The sequence below is a fragment of the Homo sapiens genome, chromosome 14, assembly GCF_000001405.40.
Source record: "Homo sapiens chromosome 14, GRCh38.p14 Primary Assembly".
NCBI lineage: Eukaryota > Metazoa > Chordata > Mammalia > Primates > Hominidae > Homo > Homo sapiens.
Window position 1 is genome coordinate 75,495,156 of NC_000014.9, and position 25,332 is coordinate 75,520,487.

Below are 25,332 nucleotides of genomic sequence, written 5' to 3' on the forward strand. Positions count from 1 at the left end.
TAACCAAGTGCACCCAAGCTGTAAATTCATGGAATCCTCCAAACAGCTCCATGATACATATACTGGTAATATCTTCATTTTTCAGGTGAGAAAATTAAGATGCGGAAAGATTAAATAATTTGCCTAAAGGCACATGGTTTGCAAGGGGTGGAGCTGTGATTCAATTCAGTCGTCTGATTCTAGCTTCCCCCATCCTTTTTGGAGGAGGGAAGTATCATAAAACTGTTGATTTCATTTAACAGAATTTTAAATGAAGTCTCTGCGTAGATGAACATAAGAGATAGCTAAAATCTCAATGTGAAAGGATATCCTTTCATAGAGTTTCTGAGTTTCAAGGTCCTTCCAACTGCTGACATTTGACATTTGACACCTTGAGATTTTGTCTACAGAAAGTAGCAACATCATCCTTATACAAAGACCCAACTGCGTGAGGTTGTAGTTCCGAGAGTTTCAAAATTAGTTTATTTTCTTTGTGTCAAATTTCAGTGCCATTTTCTTCCTCATTACCTCCTCCCCTCACCCTTTTCCCCTTCTCCTTTTTCTTTTTTCCCCTCCCTCTTCCTCCTCTTCCTCTACCTCTTCTTCTTTCTCTTTTCTTCTTCTATAAATTATCAAGCTATTTGAAAACACTTAGGACCTCTGTTCATTTCTCTTCATACATTAAGGTAATAGAAATTGGCCGACTTCCAGTCCCACAACAACCCTAGGGGTCACCTGATATTATTGATGGGAATTTAGCCAACACCATAATTTCAAGTTTGGCAACCATATGGGTAACAGCAAAAGAAGCTGAAAGCTTAAATTTTCCGGAGTGGTAGAATTTGTTCCAGAATGCCGGTCAAGATCCCAAATGTAGGTAGGAAAACATAGATGTCATTTGGGTTGTCCAGAGCTGGCAAGCTTCCAAATGTGCAAAACCACGGGAGGTGGGAGGTCTTCTGCTTTTGCAAAGCTTATAATACCACAGGAAGCAGCCAGACAGTCCACTCTAGAACATTCTGCCAATGAGAAGATACTGCAGAGCATGGATAAGTCACCTTTTGAGAGCCCATGCTCCTAACCAATCTGCCGTGTTGCATTTTCACTTTGAACCACGATAAGACCATTGGAAATTAGGAAAGGAATCATGTTGCCCCGACTTTTCATTCTGAAGAAGTTCTAAGGAGTTGGAGATAACATTTTTCATAGACTCTTAAAGTTTTAAGCCTCCCTAAAGGCTTCCCTAGAGTAGATCAAGCATCCTCAGCCTACAGATGAGGCCACTGAGGCTGGACCAACGGCATCTTCAGGGTCACACAGCTAGTTAGTGGCAAAGCCAGAACCAGGTCCCTAGTGATGGATTCTCAGTCCCTGGTTCTCTCTGCCACACCACATCATGTCCCTCTCAACACCAAAGCTGGAGTGGTGAGAAAAGGCTTCACAGAGGAGGAGGAGGAGGAACGTGATCTAGGCCTTGAGGGATGGGGTGTGGGTGGGCTCGAAGGAGGGGCCAGGCTTTCTAATGCCACTTTAGTTTCCTTTGTGACATTCCCAAGGGATTGTTAGCTCCTTCAAGGTAAGTAGGTCTCCCACCTTCTGCCCTATTGCAGAGTTCCTGGCATGAGGTGGACACAAAACCCTAACCCTCTTCTCCAGGGAGTGAAACTCCTTATTTTTAAGACATTTGCCAAAGCATCGGGCCCTGAATAGAAACTCAGCTTCTATTTTTCTGCTTCCTTCTTTACTTCCTACAGATGACACTTTTGAGAGCGTGCTCTCAACTACAGTCCCCTCAGCCCCTGTCTGTGGGAGCTGTCCAGCGCCCTCTGTAAGAGTGGGCTCTGGCAGCCATGTTTGTAAGACCCCCAATGAGTGACTGAGGGGCCCAGGAGTAGACTCTTGACTCAAAGTAGACTCATGAGAGTCCCTCTCCCAGTTTGGAATTTTGACTTTGAGGGGCTTCTCAGACTCCTCTGATGGCTTGGACTGAGGCAATATTGGCTCGAGGAGCTGGGGGGTGTCCATCCTCAGACACGTGGGGAAGGCCTGTGCGGAAATGGAGGGAGATGAGCAGAAGCAGGGGAGCTGCAGTGATGAGAAACCCTGAGAAGCCAGCCACCCTGGGCCTCTGGAGGTCCCTGCCCAGAGGAGGCCTTCAGCTCTTTTGAAGGCCTCTTTTCCAGTCACAGCAGAAGGACGGTCTGCTGCCTGGAACCTCACCATATTCTGATGTTATCGAGTTTCTGCAGAAGGAGCTCGCTCAGCCTGGGCTCTGACAGAGCCACCAGGGGAAGTCCTTGGTTAGACTTCGTGCTGGAGGAACCACAGTCCTGAGGGGGTGTAGGGGGAGTGTTGTTGAAGGGGAACTTTCTTCTCTTTCTTGAAGAGAGACTCTTGGCCTGGCAGTCACAATTTGACCTATGCTCTGGAAGGAATGGGAGTCTGGAGAAGATGCTCCTTCTTTTCTGCAACGGGTTTTAATCAGTGGTCTTCCTGGCACCATGAATGGAAGAGAAGAGGCCTCCTTGGTAACTTCACCTGCAGGCATTGTAATGGGTACTGAGGAGCAGAGGGACTAAGATGATCTTATCTACAGCTAGTGAGTGAGATGGACCTGTGGATAGCGCGGCAATGAGATGAAAACGCCATGCTAAGGGAATGCACAGGCAGTGAAGGGCTCCCAAGAACCTCCATCCTGGTGCATCAGAGAACGTTTCCCACTGGGGATGGCAACTGAGTGCAGGCCTAAGGAACAACTAGGAGTTGGCTAGGCCAAAGGGGTAGGAGAAAACCCAGAGGAAGCAGCAAGAATAGAAGAGTACTTTGGGAGGCCGAGGTGGGCGGACCACGAGGTTGGGAGATCGAGACCATCCTGGTTAACACAGTGAAACCCCGTCTATACTAAAAACACAAAAAATTAGCCGGGCGTGGTAGCAGGTGCCTGTAGTCCCAGCTACTCAGGAGGCTGAGGCAGGAGAATAGAGTGAACCCGGGAGGTGGAGCTTGCAGTGAGCCAAGTTCGCGCCACTGCACTCCAGCCTCGGTGACAGAGCGAGACTCCACCTCAAAAAAAAAAAAAAAAAAAAAAAAAAAGAGTAGACGAGCAGAGCTGAGAAAGACAATGGTGGGGGTCCTGGACCAGTGGCCAGAGCAGCGAAGAGTGGAACGTCTCCAGCTTCTGGCTGGAAAGCTTACCAGAAAGAAGAGGGACCACATGAGGGAGTGGGGGCTTTGTCCTGCAGAGCTGCCATCTCCAATCCTCCTGGATTATCCATTCCATCTGTTAAATTAAAAGAATTTTTTTAATTTATAAATTTCATTAGAAATTATTTTGCACAGGGACCCATGGCCTGGGACACACTGCCTTAGCCCACCCCACCCCCTGTTAAATTTTTTAGCATGCAAAAATATTTGTACATGTCTGTATATAATATAAATACAGGGCTGGCTGCAGTGGCTCACACCTGTTATCCCAGCACTTTGGGAGGCTGAGGCAGGCAGATCACTTGAGGTCAGGAGTTCAAGACCAGCCTGGCCAACATAGTGAAACCCCATCTCTACTAAAAATACAAAAATTAGCTGGGCATGGTGGTGCGCATCGGTAATCCCAGCTACTCGGGAAGCTGAGGCAGGAGAATCGCTTGTACCCAGGAGGCAGAGGTTGCAGTAAGCCGAGATGGCACTGCTGCACTCCAGCCTGGACAACAGAGTGAGACTCCATCTCAAAAAAAAAAACAAACCATATGTATAATTGCTTACAAGACAGTATACAAATATTTATTTACAAAATAGATGTTTGCTCTTATACTAATTATTAAATATGATCATAGCTTAATTTCTTTCTTATTACTTTTGGATAAAAATAAGTAGACATAGAAATTCTGAAATAGGCTCTACAACCCACTGTACATACAAGAGAACTGCTCTATAAATGAGGTTGGGAGCCCCCAGAGAGTTTGAGGACCATCCCTTTCCTCAGAATCAGCGAGATGTGTAACTGTGGCTTGGGTTGTCAAAGCCACTGCTGGTTGCCTCTGTGCTGGGTGATTCAGAGCAAGAAACCTCAGTAGCAGGCCCAGACTCTGTTGCCTTAGACTAAACATCTAGAAGCCCCTGGGCCTGGTGACCCGCAGTCTGAATTTCTGGATGTGCACACCACCATGACCGTGTGCTTTTCTTTTTTTTTTTTTAAGTCAACTGGAACCTGGACTTTATGGTTTCAGGGCTGTCAACAGAAAATGTAGAATTCACGTAGCTGCGGTCTTGCTGTGAAATTTTTGGGTAGAGTGAGCTGAACTTTCTGCCTGGACCATCTGTCCTGAACACCATACACAGCAGAAAATGGTCGAGCTTTGTCTGGGTCCAGGACATCCAGGCCAGCAAATGGCGGAGACATCATGCTGAGTAGGGGATACGGAGTTTTCCAACCACATCACAGGAACTTTCCCGGGGCTCAGGGCTCAGCTCTCAGTGTCATTAAGGTAGTTAGAGAATTGACTCTGACGTTGTTCTCTTTGTCTCTGGCTTGAGAGTAGGGACTGTTGGAAGCACTGGGACCTTATTTTGCCCTTGGGGCTGAGCTCTTCACAAAGGAGATGCCTAATGAGGCTTGAAGATGGCGTCTCCCTGAGCTTTTTCAGAGGAATCCAGGAGCAGCGGTGACAACTAAAAGGTAGCGGCAGTGACACCAACACAGCAGACATTTAAGGAGCGGTGACCACGTGCTCAGGCCTAAGCGCTTTCTAGTCATCATCTCATTGAACTCTCCCAACAAAGCGTGTGGCTACTTTTATTATTCCCACTCCACAGATGACGCCTGAGCCTGGGAGAGGCTTTCTCAGAGTCCCACAGCCATTTGTAGAGCTGGGGTTGCCAGGAGTCCCGGGCCCCAGGCTCCAGTCGCTCTTCCCACCATAGGAGCTGGCAGGACTGGGCTTTGGAACCTCACCTCCTACCAGCGTGTTTTTGGAAGTGGCTATTCTTTTAGGTTCTGCTAACCAAGCCAGGACTAAACCAAAAGGAGAACTCACAAAAGGGTAGCCTTAGGATGTTCACTCAAAACTGCAGGGCATACAATGGTAAATAAGTAAATAGGTTTAAATGGTTTTTAAATTTTAATTAAAAAAAAATAAGGCTGGGCATGGTGGCTCACACCTGTAATCCCAGCACTTTGGGAGCCCGAGGTGGGCAGATCACTTGAGGTCAGGAGTTTGAGACCAGCCTGGCTGACATGGTGAAACCCTATCTCTACTAAAAATACAAAAATTGGCCAGGCATGGTGGTGCGCATCTGTAATCCCAGCTACTCAGGAGGCTGAGGCAGAAGAATCGCTTGAACCTGGGAGACAGAGGCCGTAGTGAGCTGTGATCATGCCACTGCACTCCAGCCTGGGTGACAGAGCAAGACTTCGTCTCAAAAAAAAAAAAATTAAAATTAAAAACAAAACTGTAGAGTATTATCTAAGCCTGGTCATCTTATGCTTTCCGGGCAACACTTTCGGATCAGGAATAAGATGTGAGAGTCCAGATTGAATCAGTTTATCTGTTGGAAGGAGATAAAAGGAGAAAGTTTTTCCAAGCAGCTCCTAAGGGGGAGATTTTTTTGTTGTTGTTGCTATTGTTCTTAACTACTATAAAAATGGTTCATGTGTGTGGTAATAAAATTTCAAACAGTTACAAAAGGATAAAGAAAACATAAGTTTTCCACATCTCCCGGCCTACCCCTAGACTGACTCTTTAGACGTAAACATTTAAAATCAGATCTAGGTTTTGTCCTCCTGTGGTTATAGGCAGAATTCTAAAATATGTTTATACTTCTCTCTCTTAGTTTATCTACTTTAAAGATTGTTTGAAAACTCCTTTATACTTTGAATATTGAGGAATTTAACTCAGTTATATTTCACCGCATGTTCTCCCTCCCAATTTTTATTTTTATATTAAGTCTATCGGAATCTTTATAACTTTAAATAATATACTTACATCTCAATTTCTTGGCCCGTCACCTTTTACAGTATGTCTAACTTACAAAGTGTAAGTTCAGGAAAATACACAAGGCAGACTTCCTTCTGCCTTGTAATGGACACTGTGGTGTGGCGTGCTGCCCAGATCCCTTTCAGGACCAAGGCCTTGATTCCCCAACTTTGGGGAGTGCTGGCAGCTAAGAGGTCTCAGCTGAGTCCCTCTCCAAGAATTGCTTTTGGCTGAAGGGAGTTACCTGGAGATTATGTGAGAGATTATGCCACCTCCCAGAGGGCAGCCCATATCCAGTGACTGGTCAGTATGGGTTATGTGTTATAATGGTGTAGCCAGCCTATTGGCCTCAATGGAGCAACTTTGAAGAGCCATCTGCCTCCTCCCAAACTTCTTGCAGCATTGACTGGGGCCTTGTATCTACTCACTCCTCCCCTGCCTGGTCTTGGCTCCCTCAACTCTCACAGGTGATGTTTCTGAGAACACTCTCCAACAACCTCCCTATACCCAAGTCTTAGAGTCTCAGAGTCTGTTCTCTGGGGAACTTATAAATACCTTCTCTGTATCTCCTATTTCTATTTCTGATTATGGTCAGCTAATAAACAATTACTTTTAATTTTTTTTACTGTGAAATATTTCAAACATACAAACAAGAAAATATAATAATAAAATTAAAACCGGAAGAAACACCACTATAAATAACATTGTCATTTTTTATTCTACCATGACTTTATTATATTACTTTACTATAACTTAGTCTTCCATGCTTTATTCAAAGATTGTTCCTAAGAATTGAAAACAGAAGACAGTAATTACAATAATTTTATTGTGTATTCTTTAGTGACAATCTAAATAGTGAGGTTTGACCTGCAGACAAGCAAATGTAATCCTATGCTATTCAAACTGAGCCGCCTAAAGGGAACTGTTGCAAGATCAAATGTCAAATGGATTTTTTTTATTGTTACAATCTACCAATTGCATAAAATTGTATTACATTTTGGTTTGCTTCTTTTTCAAATTACAACTTTCTATATAGATTTTTACTGGAGTCACCTTTGTTTCATCTTGGTGACAAAATAACATAAACTTTTCCTACTATGATCATGTAGCATTTTATCACCCATTTTTAAAAATTTTTGGGGAAAAAAGCAAATCAATCAAAAAGTTGCTATACTAGAACAGTGAGCCTCCATTCTGTAATAGGTTCACCAGTTTTAAACACAAACACACACACACACACACACACACACACACACACACACTCTTACATATTTCTTTGTAAGCCATTAGAAAATAACTTGTAGAGAACATGACCTATCAGTCTTAAGTACTTCAGTGTACATCTCCTAAAGACAAGGACATAACCACAATGTCATTATCACACCTAAGGAATTTAACAATAATTTAATAATATCATCTAAGATACTATCTATATATAACTTGTAGATAACATGACACATCACTCTTAAATACTTCAGTGCGCATCTGAAATTAATTCGTTCTGGCCAGGCGCAGTGGCTCACACCCGTAATCCCAGCACTTTGGGAGGCTGAGGCGGGTGGGTCACTTGAGGTCAGGAATTCAAGACCAGCCTGGCCAACATGGTGAAACCCTGTCTCTAATAAATATATAAAAATTAGCCGGGCCTGGTGGCAGGCACCTATAATCCCAGCCATTTTGGAGGCTGAGGCAGAAGAATCGCTTGAACCGGGAGGCGGAGGTTGCAGTGAGTCGAGATCTCACCACTACACTCCAGCCTGGGTGATAGAGCGAGACTCTGGCTCAGTAAATAAATAAATAAATAAAAATAAAATTGATTAGTTCTGCTTCTAATAGAACTAATTGGCCACATTCAAGGGCTCAATACCCACATGTAGCTAGTGGCTATCATGTTGGATGGTGCAACTTGAGGCAGTACCCTGATGCCCACCTTCATTTCTGCTCCGTTTTCTACTCCAGTCTTGGCACTTGCACGTTACTAGTTTTAGCCAAGGCTCTTTCCACCATGGTTTCTCTCTCACGATGGTTCTTTCATTTTCTCTTACCCAGAAATTATTCAGGCTGTCTCCTGACCTGCTCACATTTCTCCCTCCCATTATTAAGCTTTGTTATGAATCTGTTTCTCTCTGCATGTCTTCTCTGTCATCTCAATGGCACGTGAAGCACACGAGCTTAGTAGTCTGTCTTGGATTAGAGATGTGAGGGGGTTTTAAGAGTAATCTTTAGATAATAATGGAATTAGAAAGCCCACTGGTGCATCTATTTTCTCAGGCCTTAACTTTTTTTTTTTTTTTTCAGACAGAGTCTCTATTGTGCAGTGGCAGGATCTCAGCACACTGCAACTTCTGCCTCCCAGGCTTGAGTGATCCTCCCACTTCAGCCTCCAGAGTAGCTGGGACTACTGGTGCACACCACCACTCCCAGCTAACTTTTTTTTCTTTTCTTTTCTTTTCTTTTCTTTTCTTTTCTTGTGTTTTCTTTTCTTTCTTTTTGGAGAGATAGGGTTTTGCCATATTGCCCAGGCTGGTCTCAAACTCCTGAGCTCAAGCAATCCACCCGCCTTTGCCTCCCAAAGTGCTGGGATTACAGGCATGAGCCACCATGCCCAGCCAGTCCTTAACTTCTTAATCCTACCATGTATCTACGTGGATCCAAAAAAGCTATCCCTACCAGTAGAATGAGAGAGGAATAATAATCTTGTATCCTTCCAGATATATCCTTGAGGATAGTAGTGTGCATAGAGAGGCTGTTATATGCTTTATCCTGCCTACTTCCAGGGTGGCAATAAAAACAAAATGCCCCGTAAATCAGTACCACAAGATTCGTTTAGAAATACATTGCTCAGATATATTTCATTTACATGAATTCTATGTTCAAAAGGATGGCGGCTCACAGGGAAATCTCATCCTTTCATTCCTGAGTGGCAGTTAGTAAGGCTCCATGGAACTGGCCCTTTATGTTGTCATTAAGATTCCCAAGGATGTTTATGTCTACCATGGGGAGACTAGATTAAAGGAACGTTGGAAAGGCCACAAAGGGGAGAATGGGCAATGTAGGAACATGTATGTCCAAACATGGAAACCATATGGAGTTAAGACAAATCATGTTCTATTTGCTGAGGAACCAGGTTGATTAAAGACTTTCTTATGACATGAATTGGAAAATTTGACATATGTACACATGAGGCTGATGGAGAAAAAGATGCTTAATCTTGCAAAAGTCTATCAATTTTATTGAGCTATATAAACCCCAATCTGTCCATACTACTGCCATTCCCCTCTAACAGCCACATTCTTAAAATTGCTTGGAGATATTCTAAAATCTGGTCTCCGGTAGGTATATAACAATTTATGGTCATTTCTATTATTACATTATATATGTCTTGGTCCACTTTGTGCTGTTATAACAGAATACCTGATACTGGCTAGTTAATAATGAACAGAAATTTACTAGTATATAGTTCTGGAGGCTGGGAAGTCCAAGATCAAGGTGCTGGCATCTTGCCATAACTTTCTTCCTGTGCCATCACATAGCAGAAGGTGAAAGGGCAAAAGTACAAGAGAGCAAACTTATGCTCTCAAACCCTTTTTATGATAACATTAATCTATTTGTGAGGGCAGAGCCCTCATGACCTAAACACCTCCCATTAGGCCCCACTTACTGGCCCCAGTACTGTTGGATTGGGAATTAAGTTTCCAAAACATGAATTCTGGGGGACGCATTCAAACCATAGAAACTTGTTTGCTAGAGAAAACATGTACATTGTTTGTGTCATTGTTACCATTTTGATGCATAATCTGCCAATTAAATACATAGGTGTTTTCTTAATAAGAATACGAACATGCTAAATACATTGCTTTTTAACTTGCCTTTAAATTTATTTATATTATTATTTAGTTATTATATATTGTATATCAATATATTTATAATAATTTAATATATCGTGAACATCATTGTACATTATTATTTTATCATTCTTTTGCAACATCATTTTTAGTGGCTGTATAGTTTTCTATTGTACTACTGTCTTTCTCTCTCTCTAGTCAGTCTCCTTTCATGTGCTAAACTGGATTTTTACTGATCGACTAAAGAAGGCACATTTCAGCCAGGCACAGTGGCTCATGCCTGTAATCCCAGCACTTTGGGAGGCTAAGATGGGTGGATCTCTCGAGTCCATGAGTTCGAGACCAGCCTGGGCAACGTGGTGAAACCCCATCTCTACAAAAAGTTTTTTAAAAAATTAGCCAGGTGTGGTGATGTGCTCCTGCAGTTCCAGCTACTCGGGAGGCTGAGGTAGGAGGAACACGCAGAGCTGAGTTGTGATCACACCACTGCACTCCAGCCTGGGCAACAGAGCAAGACCTTGTCTCAAAAAATAAAAATAAAATAAAATAATACACGTTTCCAACATTTTTTTAGTCTTCTAGAAATACATCGGAATCTCTAGTCTGCTGATGCCCCTTATTTCCCTGATCAGTTTTATCCTGAGTCAAGTCCTTACTGCAGTTTTTTGCTGTCCTTTCAATGAGAATTGGAAAAGAGCGGGATATTTGGTGGTTCTCTCAGCCAGTCAACAATTCAATGTCAGGAGGCTTGCCTCTTTATATAGCAGCCTTTTTGTGTAATTATCTAATATTTTATTTCATATTGCTTTTTTCTTAAAATAGTAAAAACTAGAAAAGTGAAAGTGCTAACATTAATGATATGAAATGTAGATCTTTCAATCTCCTAGCAACTGAGACAAAAAAATGGAATTGATTGCATATGCTGAGAGCAGTAAGTCTTTACTCATTGGATGTAAGTCAGTTTTCTGGGTATTCCATTGTGAAAGGGAAAAGATAAAAATACATAAAGAATAGGATTGAAGTGCTAGGAACATATCAAAGATGTGCCTAAAAACCCAAAATTTATTCAATAATTGAATAAACAAATAAATTATGGTACATTCATTCACTGGAATATCAACAGGAATCGGAAAGAATAAACTACGACTGTACTCAGTAGAAAAAAGGTACAGAGAAAACCAACAGAGCAAAGATAATCAATAAAATCAAAAGATGGTTCTTTTACACAGTCAATTAAATCCATAAATAGAAAAATCTATAGAGACAGAAAGTAGATTAGTGGTTGCCTAGGGCTTGAGCGAATGGATAGATGAGATTTTGGGGGGGGGATGGCTAAGGGGTGCAGGGTTTATTTTTGGAGCAATGAAAACGTTTTAAAATTGATTGTTGTGATGAATGCGTAACTCTATGAATACACTCAAGGCCATTATATTGTACACTTTAAATGGGTGAATTATACAGTATATGAATTATACTTTTATTTTTAAAATAATTTAAAAATGAAGGCAAAATTAAGGCATTCCCAGATAAACAAAAGCTGAGAGAAATCATTACTAGATCTGCCTTGTAAGAGACACTAAAGAGAGTCCTTCAGGCTGAAATGAAAGGACACTAGACAGTAACTTGAATCCACAAGAAGAAATGAGGAGCGCCAGTAAAGTTAACTACATGGGTAAATATACAAGAAAATGTAAATGTATATTTTGTTTATAACAATTTTTATTTCCAATCTGACTTAAAAGATAACTGCAAAAAGTAATAACTATAAATATGTGTTGATGGACATATAGTAAATAAAGAAGTAATTTTATGATAATATTAGCACAAGTGAAGAGGAGGAAAATGGAGTTATAAAGAAGTAAAGTTTTGTAATTATTAAAATTAATAATCTACAAACTTAAAATTAAAGTTTGTATTCACCTGAACTATATTATTCTAAGCTGTTAATTGTAATCCCCAGGGCAACCATTAAAAAAAAACAACTCAAAAAATGTGATAAAAGAAATGGCAAGTTAGTTAAAATAGTACACTAGAAAATATCCATGAGACACAAAAGCAGGCAGTAATGGAGGAATAGAGGCACAAAAAAGACATAAGACATGTAGAAAACAACTGGCAAAATGGCTGATATAAATCTTACCCTATCAGTAATTACATTAAATATAAATAGGTTAAATACTCCAATCAAAAAACAGAGACTGGCAGAATGGATAAAAAAAAATCCAACCAAATGCTGTTTATAAGAAACATATTTTAGATTCAAAGACATAAATAGGTTGTATGTAAAAGGATGGAAAAAAACATAAACGATGAATACAGTATTTAAAAGAAAGCTGAAGTAGCTATGTTAATATCAGACAAAAATCAACAAATGTTACTACAGCAAAGAAGGACACTTGACAATAATAAAAGGGTCAATCCATTAAGAAAACTTAACAATTATGAATATATATATGCAGCTAACAATATAGTCCTTAAAATAAATGAAGCAAAAACTCACAGAATTAAAGAGAGAAATAGACGATACAAGAATAATAGTTGAGGCCGGGTGCAGTGGCTCATGCCTGTAATCCTAGCACTTTGGAAAGCTGAAGTGGAAAGCTCCTGAGGTCAGGAGCTCGAGATCAGCCTGGCCAACATGGCAAAACCCCATGCCTACTAAAAATATAAAAAACTAGCCGGGCCTGGTGGCAGGCGCCTGTAATCGCAGCTACTCAGGAGGCTGAGGCAAGAGAATCCCTTGAACCTGGGGGACAGAAGTTGCAGTGAGCTGAGATCGCACCACTTCACTCCAGCCTGGGTGAAAGAGTGAAACTCTGTCTCAAAATAATAATAATAATAATAATAGTTGAAGACTCTAATACCCCACTTTCATTAATAGATGGAATGACAGAAGATCAACAAGGAAATAAAAAACTTGAACCTAAATCAGACATTAATAGAATATTCCACTCAACAACAGCAAAACACACATTCTTCTCAAGTGCATCATGAAATATTTTCCAGAAGAGACCATATGATAGTCTCAATAAAGTTATAAGGGCTGAAATCATACAAAGTATGTTCTCCAATCACAGTGGAATAAAATTAGAAATCAATAGGAGAAAATATGTGGGAAATTCAAAAGGATAGGGATATTTTAAAACCACTCCTAAAGAACCAATAGGTCAAAGAAAAAAATCACAATGGAAATTAGAAAATACTTTGAAATTAATGAAAACAAAACACAACATACCAAAACTTATGGGGTGAAGCTAAAGAATGGCTCAGAGGGAAATTAATCACTGCATACAAATATGTTAGAAAAGAAGAAAAATCTCAAATCAATAACCTGATCTTCCACCTTAAGAAACTAGAAAAAGATCAAACTAACCCAAGGGAAGCAGAAAGAATGGAACAATAAAGATAAGAGCAGAAGAAAGTGAAATAGAGAATATAAATGTAATAGAAAAAAATGAAATAAAAAGTTGGTCTTTGAAAAAATTAACAAGTATGAAAAACCTTTAGCTAGTCTGATGAGAGGGAGAAATAAGACTTGAATTACTAAAATAAAAAATAAGAGAAGGAAAATTACTGTTGACCTTACAAAAATAAAAGGAATTGTAAGTGAATACTATGAAAAGTTGTATGCAAATAAAGTGGATAATCTAGATAAGATAGACAAATTCCTAGAAAGACACAGCTACCAAAACTTAATCAAGAAGAAATAGAAAAATCTGAATAGACTGAAAATAAATAAAGAGACTGAATTAGTAATCAAAAAATTGTCAAAAGGGAAAACCTGGAACCAAATAGCTTCACTAGTGAAGTTTATCAAATGTTTAAAGAAGAATTAACACCACTCCTTCTCAAACTCTTTCACAAAGTAGAAGTGGAGGGAACACTTTTCAATGTGTTCTATGCAGCCAGTATTACTCTGATACCAAAGCTAGAAAATAACACAAGAGTACTAAAGGCCAATGTCTCTTATGCATATAGATGCAAAATTCTGGACAAATTACTAGTAAATTGAATCCAACAACATATAAAAAGGAACATACATCATGATCAAGTGGGACTTAGCTCAGAAAATAAGATCGATTCAACATATAAAAATCAATGTAAATATTGGTATTTACATATCAATTTACATATTGATATTTACATATCAATATTACTATATTAATACAATAAAGGACAAAAATGACAGAATTATTTCAATATACACAGGAAGGCATTTGACAAAATCTAACTGCTTTTTATTAAAAACCACTTGAAAAACTATGAGTAGAAGGGAACTTTCTTAACAAAGAACATCTATGAAAAACCCACAACTAGCATTGTGCTTATTAGTGAAAGACTGATCAAAATCTTTCCCAGTAAGACCAAGAACAAGACAAGGATATCCTCTCATACACCACTTCTATTTAACATTGTGCTAGAAGTCCCAGCCAGGATAATTAGGCAAGAAAAAGAGAGAAAAGGCATCCATGTTGGAAAGAAAAAAGTAAAACTATCCCTATTTACAGATGAGATAATCTTGTATATAGAAAACCCTAAGAAATCCATCCCCCCTAAAAAATATATTTTTACATATTATTAGATTCAATATATATCTATTAGAGCTAATAACAAGTTCAACTAGGTTGAAAGATATAAGAGCAATACACAAAAACTACTTATTTCTGTATACGGGCTATGAATAATACAAAAATGAAATTGAGAAAACAATTCTATTTATAATCAAAACAATTTATATCAAAAAGAATAAAATACTTAGGATGAAATTTAACCAAAGAAGTGCAACCCTTATACATCAGAAATTGCAAAACAAAGAAGACTAAAAAATAGTGGGAAGATATCCCTTGTTCATGGATTGGAAGACTTAATATTGTTAAGAAGGCAATGTTTCCTGAATTGCTCTACAGAGTTGATGCAATCTGTATCATTTTCCAGCTGTCTTTTTGGCAGAAATTGGCAAGCTGATCTTATACAATTCATATAGAAATTCAAAGGTTCTGAGTAGCCTAAACAATTTTGAAAAAGAAGAACAAAGTCAAAGGACTCATACTTCCCAATTTTAAAACTTACTACAAGACAGTGTGGAACCAGCAGAGGTAGAGACACATATATCAATGGGAGAGATTTCAGAGCCCAAAAATAAACCTTCACATTTATGATCCATTGATTTTTGACAAGGGTGACAAAATTACTAATGAGGAAAGAATAATCTTTTCAATAAATGGTGCTGGGACAACTGGATATCTACATGCAAAAGAATGAATTTGGACCTCTACCTCACACCATACAAAAATTAACTCAAAATAGATCAAAGACTTAAATGTAAAGCATAAAACTACAAAACTCTTAGAAGAAAGTCGATGTAAATCTTTGTAACCTTGGGTTAAGCAATGGCTCCTTAGATATGACACCAAAAGCATAAGCAACTAAAGAATAAAAATAGATAACTTGGGCTTCATCAAAATTTAAAATGCTTTACAAATGATATTATCAAGAAAGTGGAAGACAACCACAGAAAATATTTGCAAATCATATACCTAACAAAGATCTAGTATCAAGAATATATAAACAACTCTTACAACTCAACATTTTAAAAAATCCATTTTTAAAATGTGCAAAGGATTTGAATAGACATTTCTCTATATATACTTGAATATATATTATAGGCAATAAGGATATGGAAAGAGTTTCAACATCATTAGTCATTAGGCAAATGCAAATCAAAACCACACTGAGATACAACTTCACAACCACTAGGTGATTATAATAAAAAAGATGAATAACAAGCATTAGTGAGAATGTGGAGAAACTGAAACCCTCAGATATTGCTGGTAGGAATGTAAAACAGGGCAACTGCTGTGGAAAACAGTCTGGTAGTTCCTCAACAGTTAAACATAGAGTGACGTATGATGTAAAAGAATTGAAAACATATATCCACATAAAAACTTGTACACAAACTTTGTAGTAGCCTCATTTGTAAGAGTCAAAATATGGAAACAAACCAGATGTTCATCAACTGGTGACTGGACACAGTGTAGTATATCTATACAATGGAATATTATTGGGCCATTGAAAGGAATGGAGTACTGATACATGCTACAACACGATGAGCCTTAAAAGCATCATGTTAAATAAAAGAAGCCAGTCACAAAAGGCCACATATTACATTATTCTATTTATGTAAAATAGCCAGAATGGGCAAATTCAGAGACAGAAAGTATATTACTGCTTTCCAAGAGCTGAGGGGGAGAGGAATGGGGAATAATTGCTAACAGGAACAGAGGGGTTTTTTTAGGGTGATAAAAATATTCTAAAATTAGATAGTGGTAATGGTTTCACAACTCTGTGAAACTCTGTACACTGAATTGTGTACTTTAAAAAGTTAAATTTCATGGTTTGTGAATTGTATCTCAATTTTAAAATACACTAAAGAAGTATGAACAAGTAGAGTGCATTCCAGGAATGCAAGGTTGGTTTAACATTCAAAAATCAGTTACTATAATTCATCATAATAATAGAATAAAGGAGAAAAACTATAAAATTATATCAATAGACTCAGAAAAGGCCTTTGTTATTTTGTTAAATGACAAAATTCAGCACATATTCAGGATAAAGGGTCCCAACACATTAGAAATAAAAGGGAATTTCCTTAACCTGACAAAAGAGCATCTACAAAAAAAACCTATAGCTTACATTATATTTAGTGGTAAGAGACTGAATGCTTATCTCTTAATATCAGGAACAAGGCAAGGATGTGTATTCTCAAAACCTTTATTCAACATTAAACTCTACAAAAAGGCAAATGTGTCTGGGTGCAGTAGCTTATACCTGTAATCCCAGCACTTTGGGAGGCCAAGGTGGGAGGGTCACTTGAGGCCAGGAGTTCAAGACCAGCCTGGGCAACACAGAGAGACTACATATTTACAAAACATTATTTTAAAAATTAGCTGGGCCTAGAGGCAGGCACCTGTAGTCCTAGCTACTCTGGAGGCTGAAGTAAGAGGATCGCTTGAGCCTGGGAGCTTGAGGCTGCAGTGAGCTATGATTCCACCACTGTGCTCCAGTGCCTGGGGAACACAGTGAGAACCTGTCACACACACACCAAAAAAAAGAGGCAGATAGGTTGGAAAGGAAAAAGTAAAACAGTCTTTATTCACAAACAACATAATCATCTAAGAAAATCCTAAGGAATCTACACAAAAGCAACTCAAACTAACAAATAAATATTGCAAGGTTGTAAGAAGTCCCTTCTAGGTATACACCCCCAAAAAGTGAAAGCATATGTCCCCCAAAAGACTTGACATGAATATTCAGTCACTTTATTCAGAACAATCAAAACCTGGAAACAATGCCATTGTCCAGCAACAGGTGAACAGATAACAAATTGCCCCTGGAGGAGGCATCTTTGTTTGGGCCTTGTAGCTATAGAACCTTTACCCTGTGGAGCAGGAGAGGGTGGAGATGCAGGTGTGGGAAAGGTAGGAGACACTAACCCTGGCCTGGAGATGTCCAGCTGAAGAACAGAGAATGCTTGGTTGGGAGGTAGAGACTTGAGTTGCTCAGCAAAGTAGGAATAAAGGTAACAGGGCTGTGAGATTTGGGAGCAGTAACAGAGAAAGCCTCAGAAGGGAAGGGGTAGACAGGCACAGAAGGCATGAGAAGGGTGACTTTCGAGGGAAACTGTAGAAAGAGGATTTTTTGATTTTTTTTTTTTTTTTTGAGACAGAGTTTTGCTCTTGCTGTCCAGGCTGGAGTACAATGGTGCAGTCTCAGCTCACTGAAACTTCAGCCTCCCAGGTTCAAGTGATTCCCCTGCCTCAGCCTTCCTAGTAGCTGGAATTACAGGCACCCGCCACCATGCCCGGCTAATTTTTGTATTTTTAGTAGAGACGGGGTTTCACCATGTTGACCAGGCTGGGCTTGAACTCCTGACCTCAGGTGATCCACCCACCTCAGCCTCCCCAAGTGCTGGGATTACAGGCATGAGCCACGGTGCCTGTCTAGAAAAAGGATTTTTATAGAAAGTTGGTATGTGATGTTATTCCCTTTTTCCCTTTTCTTTTTTTTTTTTTTTTTTTGAGACAGGGTCTCTCTTGTTGCCCAGACAAGAGAGAGTGCAGCAGCATGATAACAGCTCACTGCAGCCTTGATGTCCCAGGTTCAAGCAATCCCCCCACCTCAGCCTCCAGAGTAACTGGGACTACAGGTGTGCACCACCACATCCAGCTATTTTTTAAATTGTTTTTAGAGGTGGTCTTGAACTCCTAAGCTCAAGTGATCCTCCTGACTCAGCCTCACAAAGTGCTGGGATCATAGGTGTGCACCACCCCATCCGGTCTTACTCTCTTTTTTTCAATATTTCTATTGGATGAGACTCTACTTGGATAATCCCAGTTTTATATGGGTTACATAAAACAAATATTACGGCAGTAATAGCTAATAGGCACTGTATGCTTACTAGGCACTAATCATTGCACTAAGCAATTTAAATACATTCAGTGGTATGAGGTGGCACCATTATATAGATGAGGAAACTGAGGCACAGAGTTTTAAGTGATTGTCCAAGATCACAGAGTTATGAAGCGACAGAGCCAGAACATTGGATTTCATATTGAAACCCAAAGCTAAGAGGCCGTTTTCGTGTTCCTGCTTTCCTCCTTGACCATGTCTCTCTCTGTATGCTGTCAGGGTTGAGTGAGTGAGGGAAGGATGCTGAAAAGTCATTTGGTTCAGGCCTCACATTTTCAAAGCACTTAACTCCAGTGAGGCCGTATATCCAGCCTGAGATATTTAGCCGGGCCTGAGAGATGAGGAGATTTACCCAGCTTTTGAGTTACTTTCCATTTATTGATGCTACCACCTCCAGAGACCCAGGAATTAAATACTCATATAAATTCCATCATTTTCTGGTTGTAGTATAAGTACATTACTTTTAAAACATACCATATTTTTTGTTAACCTTATTTTGATATATCTTCATTTTTAATCTGATGGGAAACTGAAAAATGGAGTGGCCTCTCTCTCAACCTTTGAGAGGCCTCACTCCCTTTCCTACTGTCTGAAAGGTGCAGGAAGAGGAGGCCCTGCAGGAAGCAGCTCTGATGCCCACTCCGGCTGCTGCCAGTGGCTGGCTGGATGTGCTATCAGCATGGCCATACCCACAGGTTGAAGTAGGTCAACAACCTGGGGACCCAGAAGCTGCGTGGTGCAAAGTGCATCTATCCGGAAATTTCCTGAGCTTCAAGGGGGTTTATAAGGCAGCCACCAGGCCCAGACTGACCAAGAGAACAGGAGCTTTGGATGCATGTTCTTTAACCCAGTGGCTCTCACCTGGGGCGATTTAGCTTCTCCTCCCCGTAGAACATCTGGCAATTCTAGAGACATTTTTTTATTTTCACAACTTGGGGTTCTACCAGCAACTAGTGGGTGGAGACCAGAGAAGCTGCTAAACATCTTACAATGCACAGGATGGCCCACCGCCACAAAGAATTATCCGCCCCAAATGTCAAGAGTGCCACAGTTGAGGAAATGTGTTCTAACCCTCTGGGGCTGGCCTTATGAAGCGCAGCCACACCCCTCCTAAGAGGCTTCCTCCAAGGCTGCAAAGCCTGAGAGGGCTGGACTGTAGGCCACTCCGCCGCGGGATTTCCCCTTCATCACCTGGCCACCCACTCTGGCCCCCTTACTGGAGGGCTCCGCCCTCAGGTAAATGTTTTCCCTACTTGTTTGGGAAACTTTGAGAAAAATCCCCTTTAGCCATCTTCTGAGCAGTGAAGATGTACCATGTGTGCTTTTTCCACCAAAAAAACATTAAAGCGGCTAGGGGATTTTTATTATTTTAGCTCAAATAACTAAATAGTGGCAGCCAACTCCTTTAAAGGCGACTGTCAGCCCTCAAAGGGGCGCTCAGATGGAACTCAGAAAAAATTAAAAAAAGAGTGAGTTTAGTATCAGTGGATCAGGGGAGTGGGGATAACCTGGGAATTCTGGTCTGGTGGGGCAGGCGACACAGACCGAAGGCCTCCGCCCACCCCCAGCCTCAAGCCCCCTCTGCGTGGGGCCCCTGGGGGCCTGGGGACATTTGCATGTACTCTCAGGAGATTCTCCTTTCTTCTCCCTGGGTTTCATCTTTAATAACTAGATGATGGGCTGTTGGGGAATGCAGGGCCAGCGCTCTAGGAAAGTGAAACTGCCTTGCAGAGGGAAAGCAACCCACTGTGGCCCCGAAAGACCCAGACCGCCAGCGGCCCCGGGCAGCCGCCGAGGGCACCGGCTCACACTTCCTGCATTTCACAAGCTCTTGCTTGGCATGCATTGATGACTTGAACTGGGGGGTTAACCCAAAAAGATCAAGTGCGAGCTCAAGGCGGATGATGAGAACAGATTCGGGGCTGGTTAACCTCAGAGAGCGGGAGTCCGTTGGTGCTAATGAGGCCAAGGGAGCCCGGCTCCTTTCTGCCCCCAGGCAGGTGAGAAAGAAAGAACGGAGACGAAAGAGGGCCCGCTGTGTCTACTCCTCTTGGCCCAGAAGCCCAGCTGGACCCTGAGGCCACAAACTGCCCCCTACTGGAGAAATCGCTGCAGGATTTCTCCTCCATCAAATCGCTGTGTCAGAGCCAGTTGGGGGCTTTTAAAAGACGCCCACGCTCAGGCCCGCACCAGGCCACCTACACTGGAATATCTGAGGCTAAGTCCCAAGCTAGAATTTCCCATCTTCTTTCTGGCCTTGGGAGATTTTGCATCTCCTTCCAGGGAAGGAAGCCTGACTTCTGAAATGATTCTCACGAAGGAGAAGTGCTCCGTTCTGCAGTGAGCCTGGCCAGGGGGGCCACACCACAGACTCCCAGGAGGCTTCTGCTCTGCGTGGTTCTTCTGCTCTCGTTTCCTTAACGATTGGGCCAGAGCATCTCTGCTCTTGTAAAATAGCAGGCAATTAGATCTCGAAGTCTTTGAAGTGGGCAGATTCACCAGGCGTTGGACTGAAGTTTCTATTTGTCCTGGCACTGAGAATAGCAAAGGAACAGGGGGACTGAACTGGTAAGGATATAGCAGGTTTGTTGCACTTTTAAAAAATATGTTTTCAATTACCTTAAGAACCCATTTATGTGCAGTATATCCTGCTGCTGATTTTGAACAAGGATGATCCAATAGGCACTGGTATTAAAACGCTGAAATAGAGGTTGACAAGTAGCTGCTTCCCTAAATCCTTGGAGTTTCCTTCCTCCCTCCTTCCCCTCCTTTGGCACCAACCCCCTTCCCACCTCCCCAAGATCCAGCAACTAAAAGGTTATTTGCTTGGCACGGCAGGGAGTAGGGGCTGTGCTGAATGGTGGGAACCCACGCTACATGGGTTGTCAGCTGTGTCACCCCTAATTAGACATCATTTCAATCTACTCATGAAAGCAGCTTGCTGCAGGACTCTGTGCTGGCCATATTTAATTAGAGCAGTATAAGGTTTTTTTTTTTTAAGTTAAAAACTCATATTGTATTGCCCATGTACCAGAGACTATTCTAAGAACTTTACAAACATTAACTCATTTGATCCTTATAACGACCCTATGATATTGGTGGTGTGATATCCTCCCGTTTTCTAGGTATGGAAAGAGGCATAGAGAGGTGAAGTCTCTTGCTGATATCTTCTAGACCGGGCTGGCTGCAGGGTCTGTTGCTCTCAACCAGAGGAAATAGAACCATGAAAGAACAAGGTAGGGTTTTCCTCCTTCTGCCAAACTGAGATTCACAAAGTGGACTCTAGCATTCTTCCTCTCTGCCATTCCCTCCCACCAAATTTACACCTGGGGAAACAGTGGCCCAGAGAGGGAAGGAGACCTTCCTACAATCTCAGAGTCAATTGGGGGCAAAGCTAGGACCAGAATGCTGCCTCTCAACTCCCCCTCGACCTCATATCATATTGCTTACATCCAGCTAAATGTCTCCTCAGAAATCAGTTGGGGAATATGGTGATTTTAAGTCCATAAATTCTTTATTTAATACTCCTCCCTCTAAGAGGTAGAGACTCATTTGCCTCCCCTCAAGTGTGGGCTGGACTCAGTGCTCCATTCTACTTTTTTCTTTTAGGTCAGCCTGTTGCCCAGGCTGGAGTGCAGTGGCTCAGTCTCAAATCACTGCAACCTCCGCCTCCTGGGCTTAAGTGATTCTTCCACCTCAGCTCTGCCCAGCTAATTTTTTGTAGAGACAAGGTCTCACCATGTTGCCCAGGCTGGTCTCAAACTCCTGGACTCAAGCAATCCTCCTGCCTCGGCCTCCCACAGTGCTAGAATTACAGGCATGAGCCATGCCACCCGGCCCCAAGAGTAGAACAAAGATGGAGGACTAGGTCATAAAAGACACTGCAACTCCTCTCTCTCTCTCTCTCTCTCTCTCTCTCTCTCTCTGTCTCTCTCTCTTTCTTTATTTCTCTCTCTTGTTGTTCACTCTCCAGGGAGCCAGTTGCCATGTCATGGGGAGGACACTCAGGCAGCCCCGTGGGGAGACTCATGTGAGGAGGAACTGAGATGTCTTGCCAACATCCATATGAGGGAGCCATCTTGTAAATGAATCTTCCAGTCCCAATCAAGTCTTCAGATGACCAGAGCCTCAGCTGATAACTTGGCTGCAGCCTCATGAGAGATCCTGAGCCAGAACCACTCAGCCAAGGTGTTCCTAGATTCCTGCCTCTCAAAAACTGTGTGAGATAATAGATGCTTATTGTTTAAAGTTGTTTAGGGTAACTCATTGTGTAGCAATAGATAGCTGAAACAGGAGGCTCTACATTTACTCTTTTTTTTTTTTTTTCTTGGAGACAGAGTCTTGCTGTGTCACCCAGGCTGGAGTGCAGTGGGGCAATCTCCGCTCATTGCAATCTGCGCCTCCCTGGTTCAAGCAATTCTCATGCCTCAGCTTCCCGGGTAGCTGGGACTACAGGAGTGCGCCACCATGTCCAGCTAATTATTTTGTATATTTAGTAGAGACAGGGTTTCACCATGTTGGCCAGGCTGGTCTCAAACTCCTGACCTCAAGTGATCTGCCTGCCTTGGCCTCCCAAAGTGCTGGGATTACAGGCATGAGCCACTGCACCCAGCCTACCTTTATTCTTAAAATGCCATAAATGCACAGAGTGTTTTGAGGAGTCTTTTATCCCAAAGTATTCCAACTATATTTCTTTTAAAAATTTAGGGCAATTAAGGCATTTTAATGCATGTGACCCTCCCCGCCCCACATTCCCCCACCCTTCATTATTTCAAACTGGAGTGGTCTTTTGAATTTTTTCCTGAACGTGTTTCCAGAAAGTTTATACCAAGTAAAACAGCTATATCCAAGTTCCTAGTAATTATTACAGCAATTACAAGGGTTCCAAGCCTAATAAAGTAATCTAAGGGCAGGAGGTTTGGAGGTATGGTTATTTCTTGGCATTCTTCTAATGACAGCCTGGAGCTGAGTAGCATCTTGGCAGTTGTCTACTGTTTGAATACGTTAGACTGCTCCCAACTCTGTCACTTGCTAACTGTGTGACCTTGGGCAAATGATCGAACTCTCTGTGCCTTAATTGCATATAAATTTTAGAATCTAATTATGATACCTGCTCTGTGGAATCCTGGGGAAGATTAAAATGAGATGTGGTAGAGCATGGTGCTTATAAGCATTGAACCAAATTGCCTGAGTTTGAGTCCTAGCTCCAGTGACTTTTCTAGCTGTATGATCTTGGGAATGTTACCTAATCTCCTTGTGCCTCAATATTCCACATACATAAAATGGGGTGAGGTGGGGAAACGGTGCTTACCTCCTGTGACTGTCATGAGAATTAAATGGAGCCAATTCATATACTATTCCCGGTACACAGTAAGTAGCATATGGCAAGGATGCTAGGTATAGTTGTGCAGGTTGTTCACTGTTCAAGGGCTCCAACCTGAGAGGTCAAGTGAGGGCTTGCCAGGCCATACGCTTTGGTATGAGGTTGCCTACCTAGAGGTGGCGCTGTTTTCTAGTTTGTACCAGGCCCTATATCAGCCAGCTGTCAGCATAAGGGTTTGTAGTATCCAGCAACCACTACCTTAATACTATCTTTAGGCTTTAGGCTGATGTTCACTGAGCGCATGCCAGTTTTATTATAACTGTTACTTGGTAGCTTCCTGGAGTTCTCCAGGATAACATCAGTGGGATGTGTATATCCCAAACCTTGCCATTACCATTCAGATACAATGCTGAAAATCAAATAAAAAATATTAGCAAGGTAAAAAGTTTAAAATCCTGCAGGACAATATTATATATTGCTTAGGCATACATACAGGTTTGGTTCAAGTATAGAAAAATGCATAAGAATGATAAACCCCACATCTGGATAATGGGTTACCTGGGGTGGGGAGGAAGCGGAATTAGAAAGGGATGAAGGAAGCTTCGGCTCTATTCATAATTTATTTCTTCAGCTTAATGGTGGCTACATAAGTGTTTATTATTTTTTAATCTTAAATATTTAAAAATAATGTATAATTAATACTATTAAATAAGACCCGTCTTTTTATGTAAAAACTAATTTTGCATTTCTCTCATTAGTCTCTGTTAAATATTAAATCAGTACATTGATTGGGAATGACAGAATCAAGCAATCATTCATTCAACAAGTGTTTACTTGTTGAATGATAGGATGTTCAAAGAGCTAAGAACTTCATCCATACGCTGTAATACTTAGAACGCTTGTAACATTTATAATAACCTGTTTGGTTATTTGACTATGTTTTCTTTTTTCTGTGAGAGCAGAGTCTCTGTCTTATTCATATTTAAGAATTCTGCTCTGTAATAGGTGATAAATAAATGTTAATTTAAACCGAATGAAACATAAATATGACTATTATTGTCCTGAAAGGGCTTTCAATACACTAGGATAATGCAGGTCATAAGTGCCATAAATGAAGAGCAAAGTGAATTCACTTATGCATTCATTCGTTTGAAAACCATTTACTCGGCATCTGTTAGGTACTGAGCATATGACTATAAACAAGAGAAACACAGACTTTGGTTTTTACAGGGCCCACTTCTCACCACTTTCATCACTGTCTAACTGGCCTATGCTGCCAGCATCTTTTGTTTGGATGGTTGCAGTAATCCAATACTGAAATCCTGACTCATCTCCCTGCTTCCACTTTGCTCCCCTATCGTAAAATCTCAACTGTGTCCAGAGAGATCCTCTAAAAACCTAAGTCAGATCATGTCACTCCTCTGCTCTGACACCTCCAATGGCTTCTCATCTGTAGGAGATTGTAGAAATTGCCACAATTAGTTAAATTTTTCCTATCGAGAAGTGAAGTCTGTTTCTCAACTCATTGAGTCTGAACTGGCCTTGTGACTCTCCTCGGCCAATAGAATGTGGCAGGTTCTGAGTTCTGTGCTAGCTCTGAGCCTGGGTTCCATGGGGCTTCGAATGCTTCTGCTCCTACTCTTGGAATCCTGCCACTATCAAATAAACATGCTCCGACCAGCCTGTTGGTGGATGAGAGACCATGTGGAGGAGAAATGCCCAAGGCAAAGCCAGGCCAGACCAGTCA

At 41.2% G+C, this 25,332-nt stretch overlaps 1 long non-coding RNA gene across 1 annotated transcript, besides 3 other annotated features; it reads left to right on the forward strand.

Moving 5' to 3' along the window:
- Positions 1,976-2,035: an enhancer, noted in NCBI's record as "active region_8750". NCBI's record gives its function as "activates an Ori minimal core promoter by ATAC-STARR-seq in GM12878 lymphoblastoid cells {active_cell/tissue: GM12878}" and the evidence as "EXISTENCE:reporter gene assay evidence [ECO:0000049][PMID:35858748]".
- Positions 19,467-20,032: an enhancer, noted in NCBI's record as "H3K4me1 hESC enhancer chr14:75980965-75981530 (GRCh37/hg19 assembly coordinates)". NCBI's record gives its function as "activates a minimal SCP1, AML or CMV promoter by ChIP-STARR-seq in naive H9 embryonic stem cells {active_cell/tissue: H9 hESC(naive)}" and the evidence as "EXISTENCE:reporter gene assay evidence [ECO:0000049][PMID:30033119]".
- LOC105370572 (uncharacterized) lies at positions 20,691-24,619 on the forward strand. The gene is made up of 3 exons (XR_944037.3): positions 20,691-20,830; positions 21,388-21,498; positions 22,236-24,619. It is a non-coding gene; the product is annotated as an uncharacterized LOC105370572 (long non-coding RNA).
- Positions 22,118-22,187: an enhancer, noted in NCBI's record as "active region_8751". NCBI's record gives its function as "activates an Ori minimal core promoter by ATAC-STARR-seq in GM12878 lymphoblastoid cells {active_cell/tissue: GM12878}" and the evidence as "EXISTENCE:reporter gene assay evidence [ECO:0000049][PMID:35858748]".
- Positions 24,620-25,332: the final 713 nt, after the last annotated feature.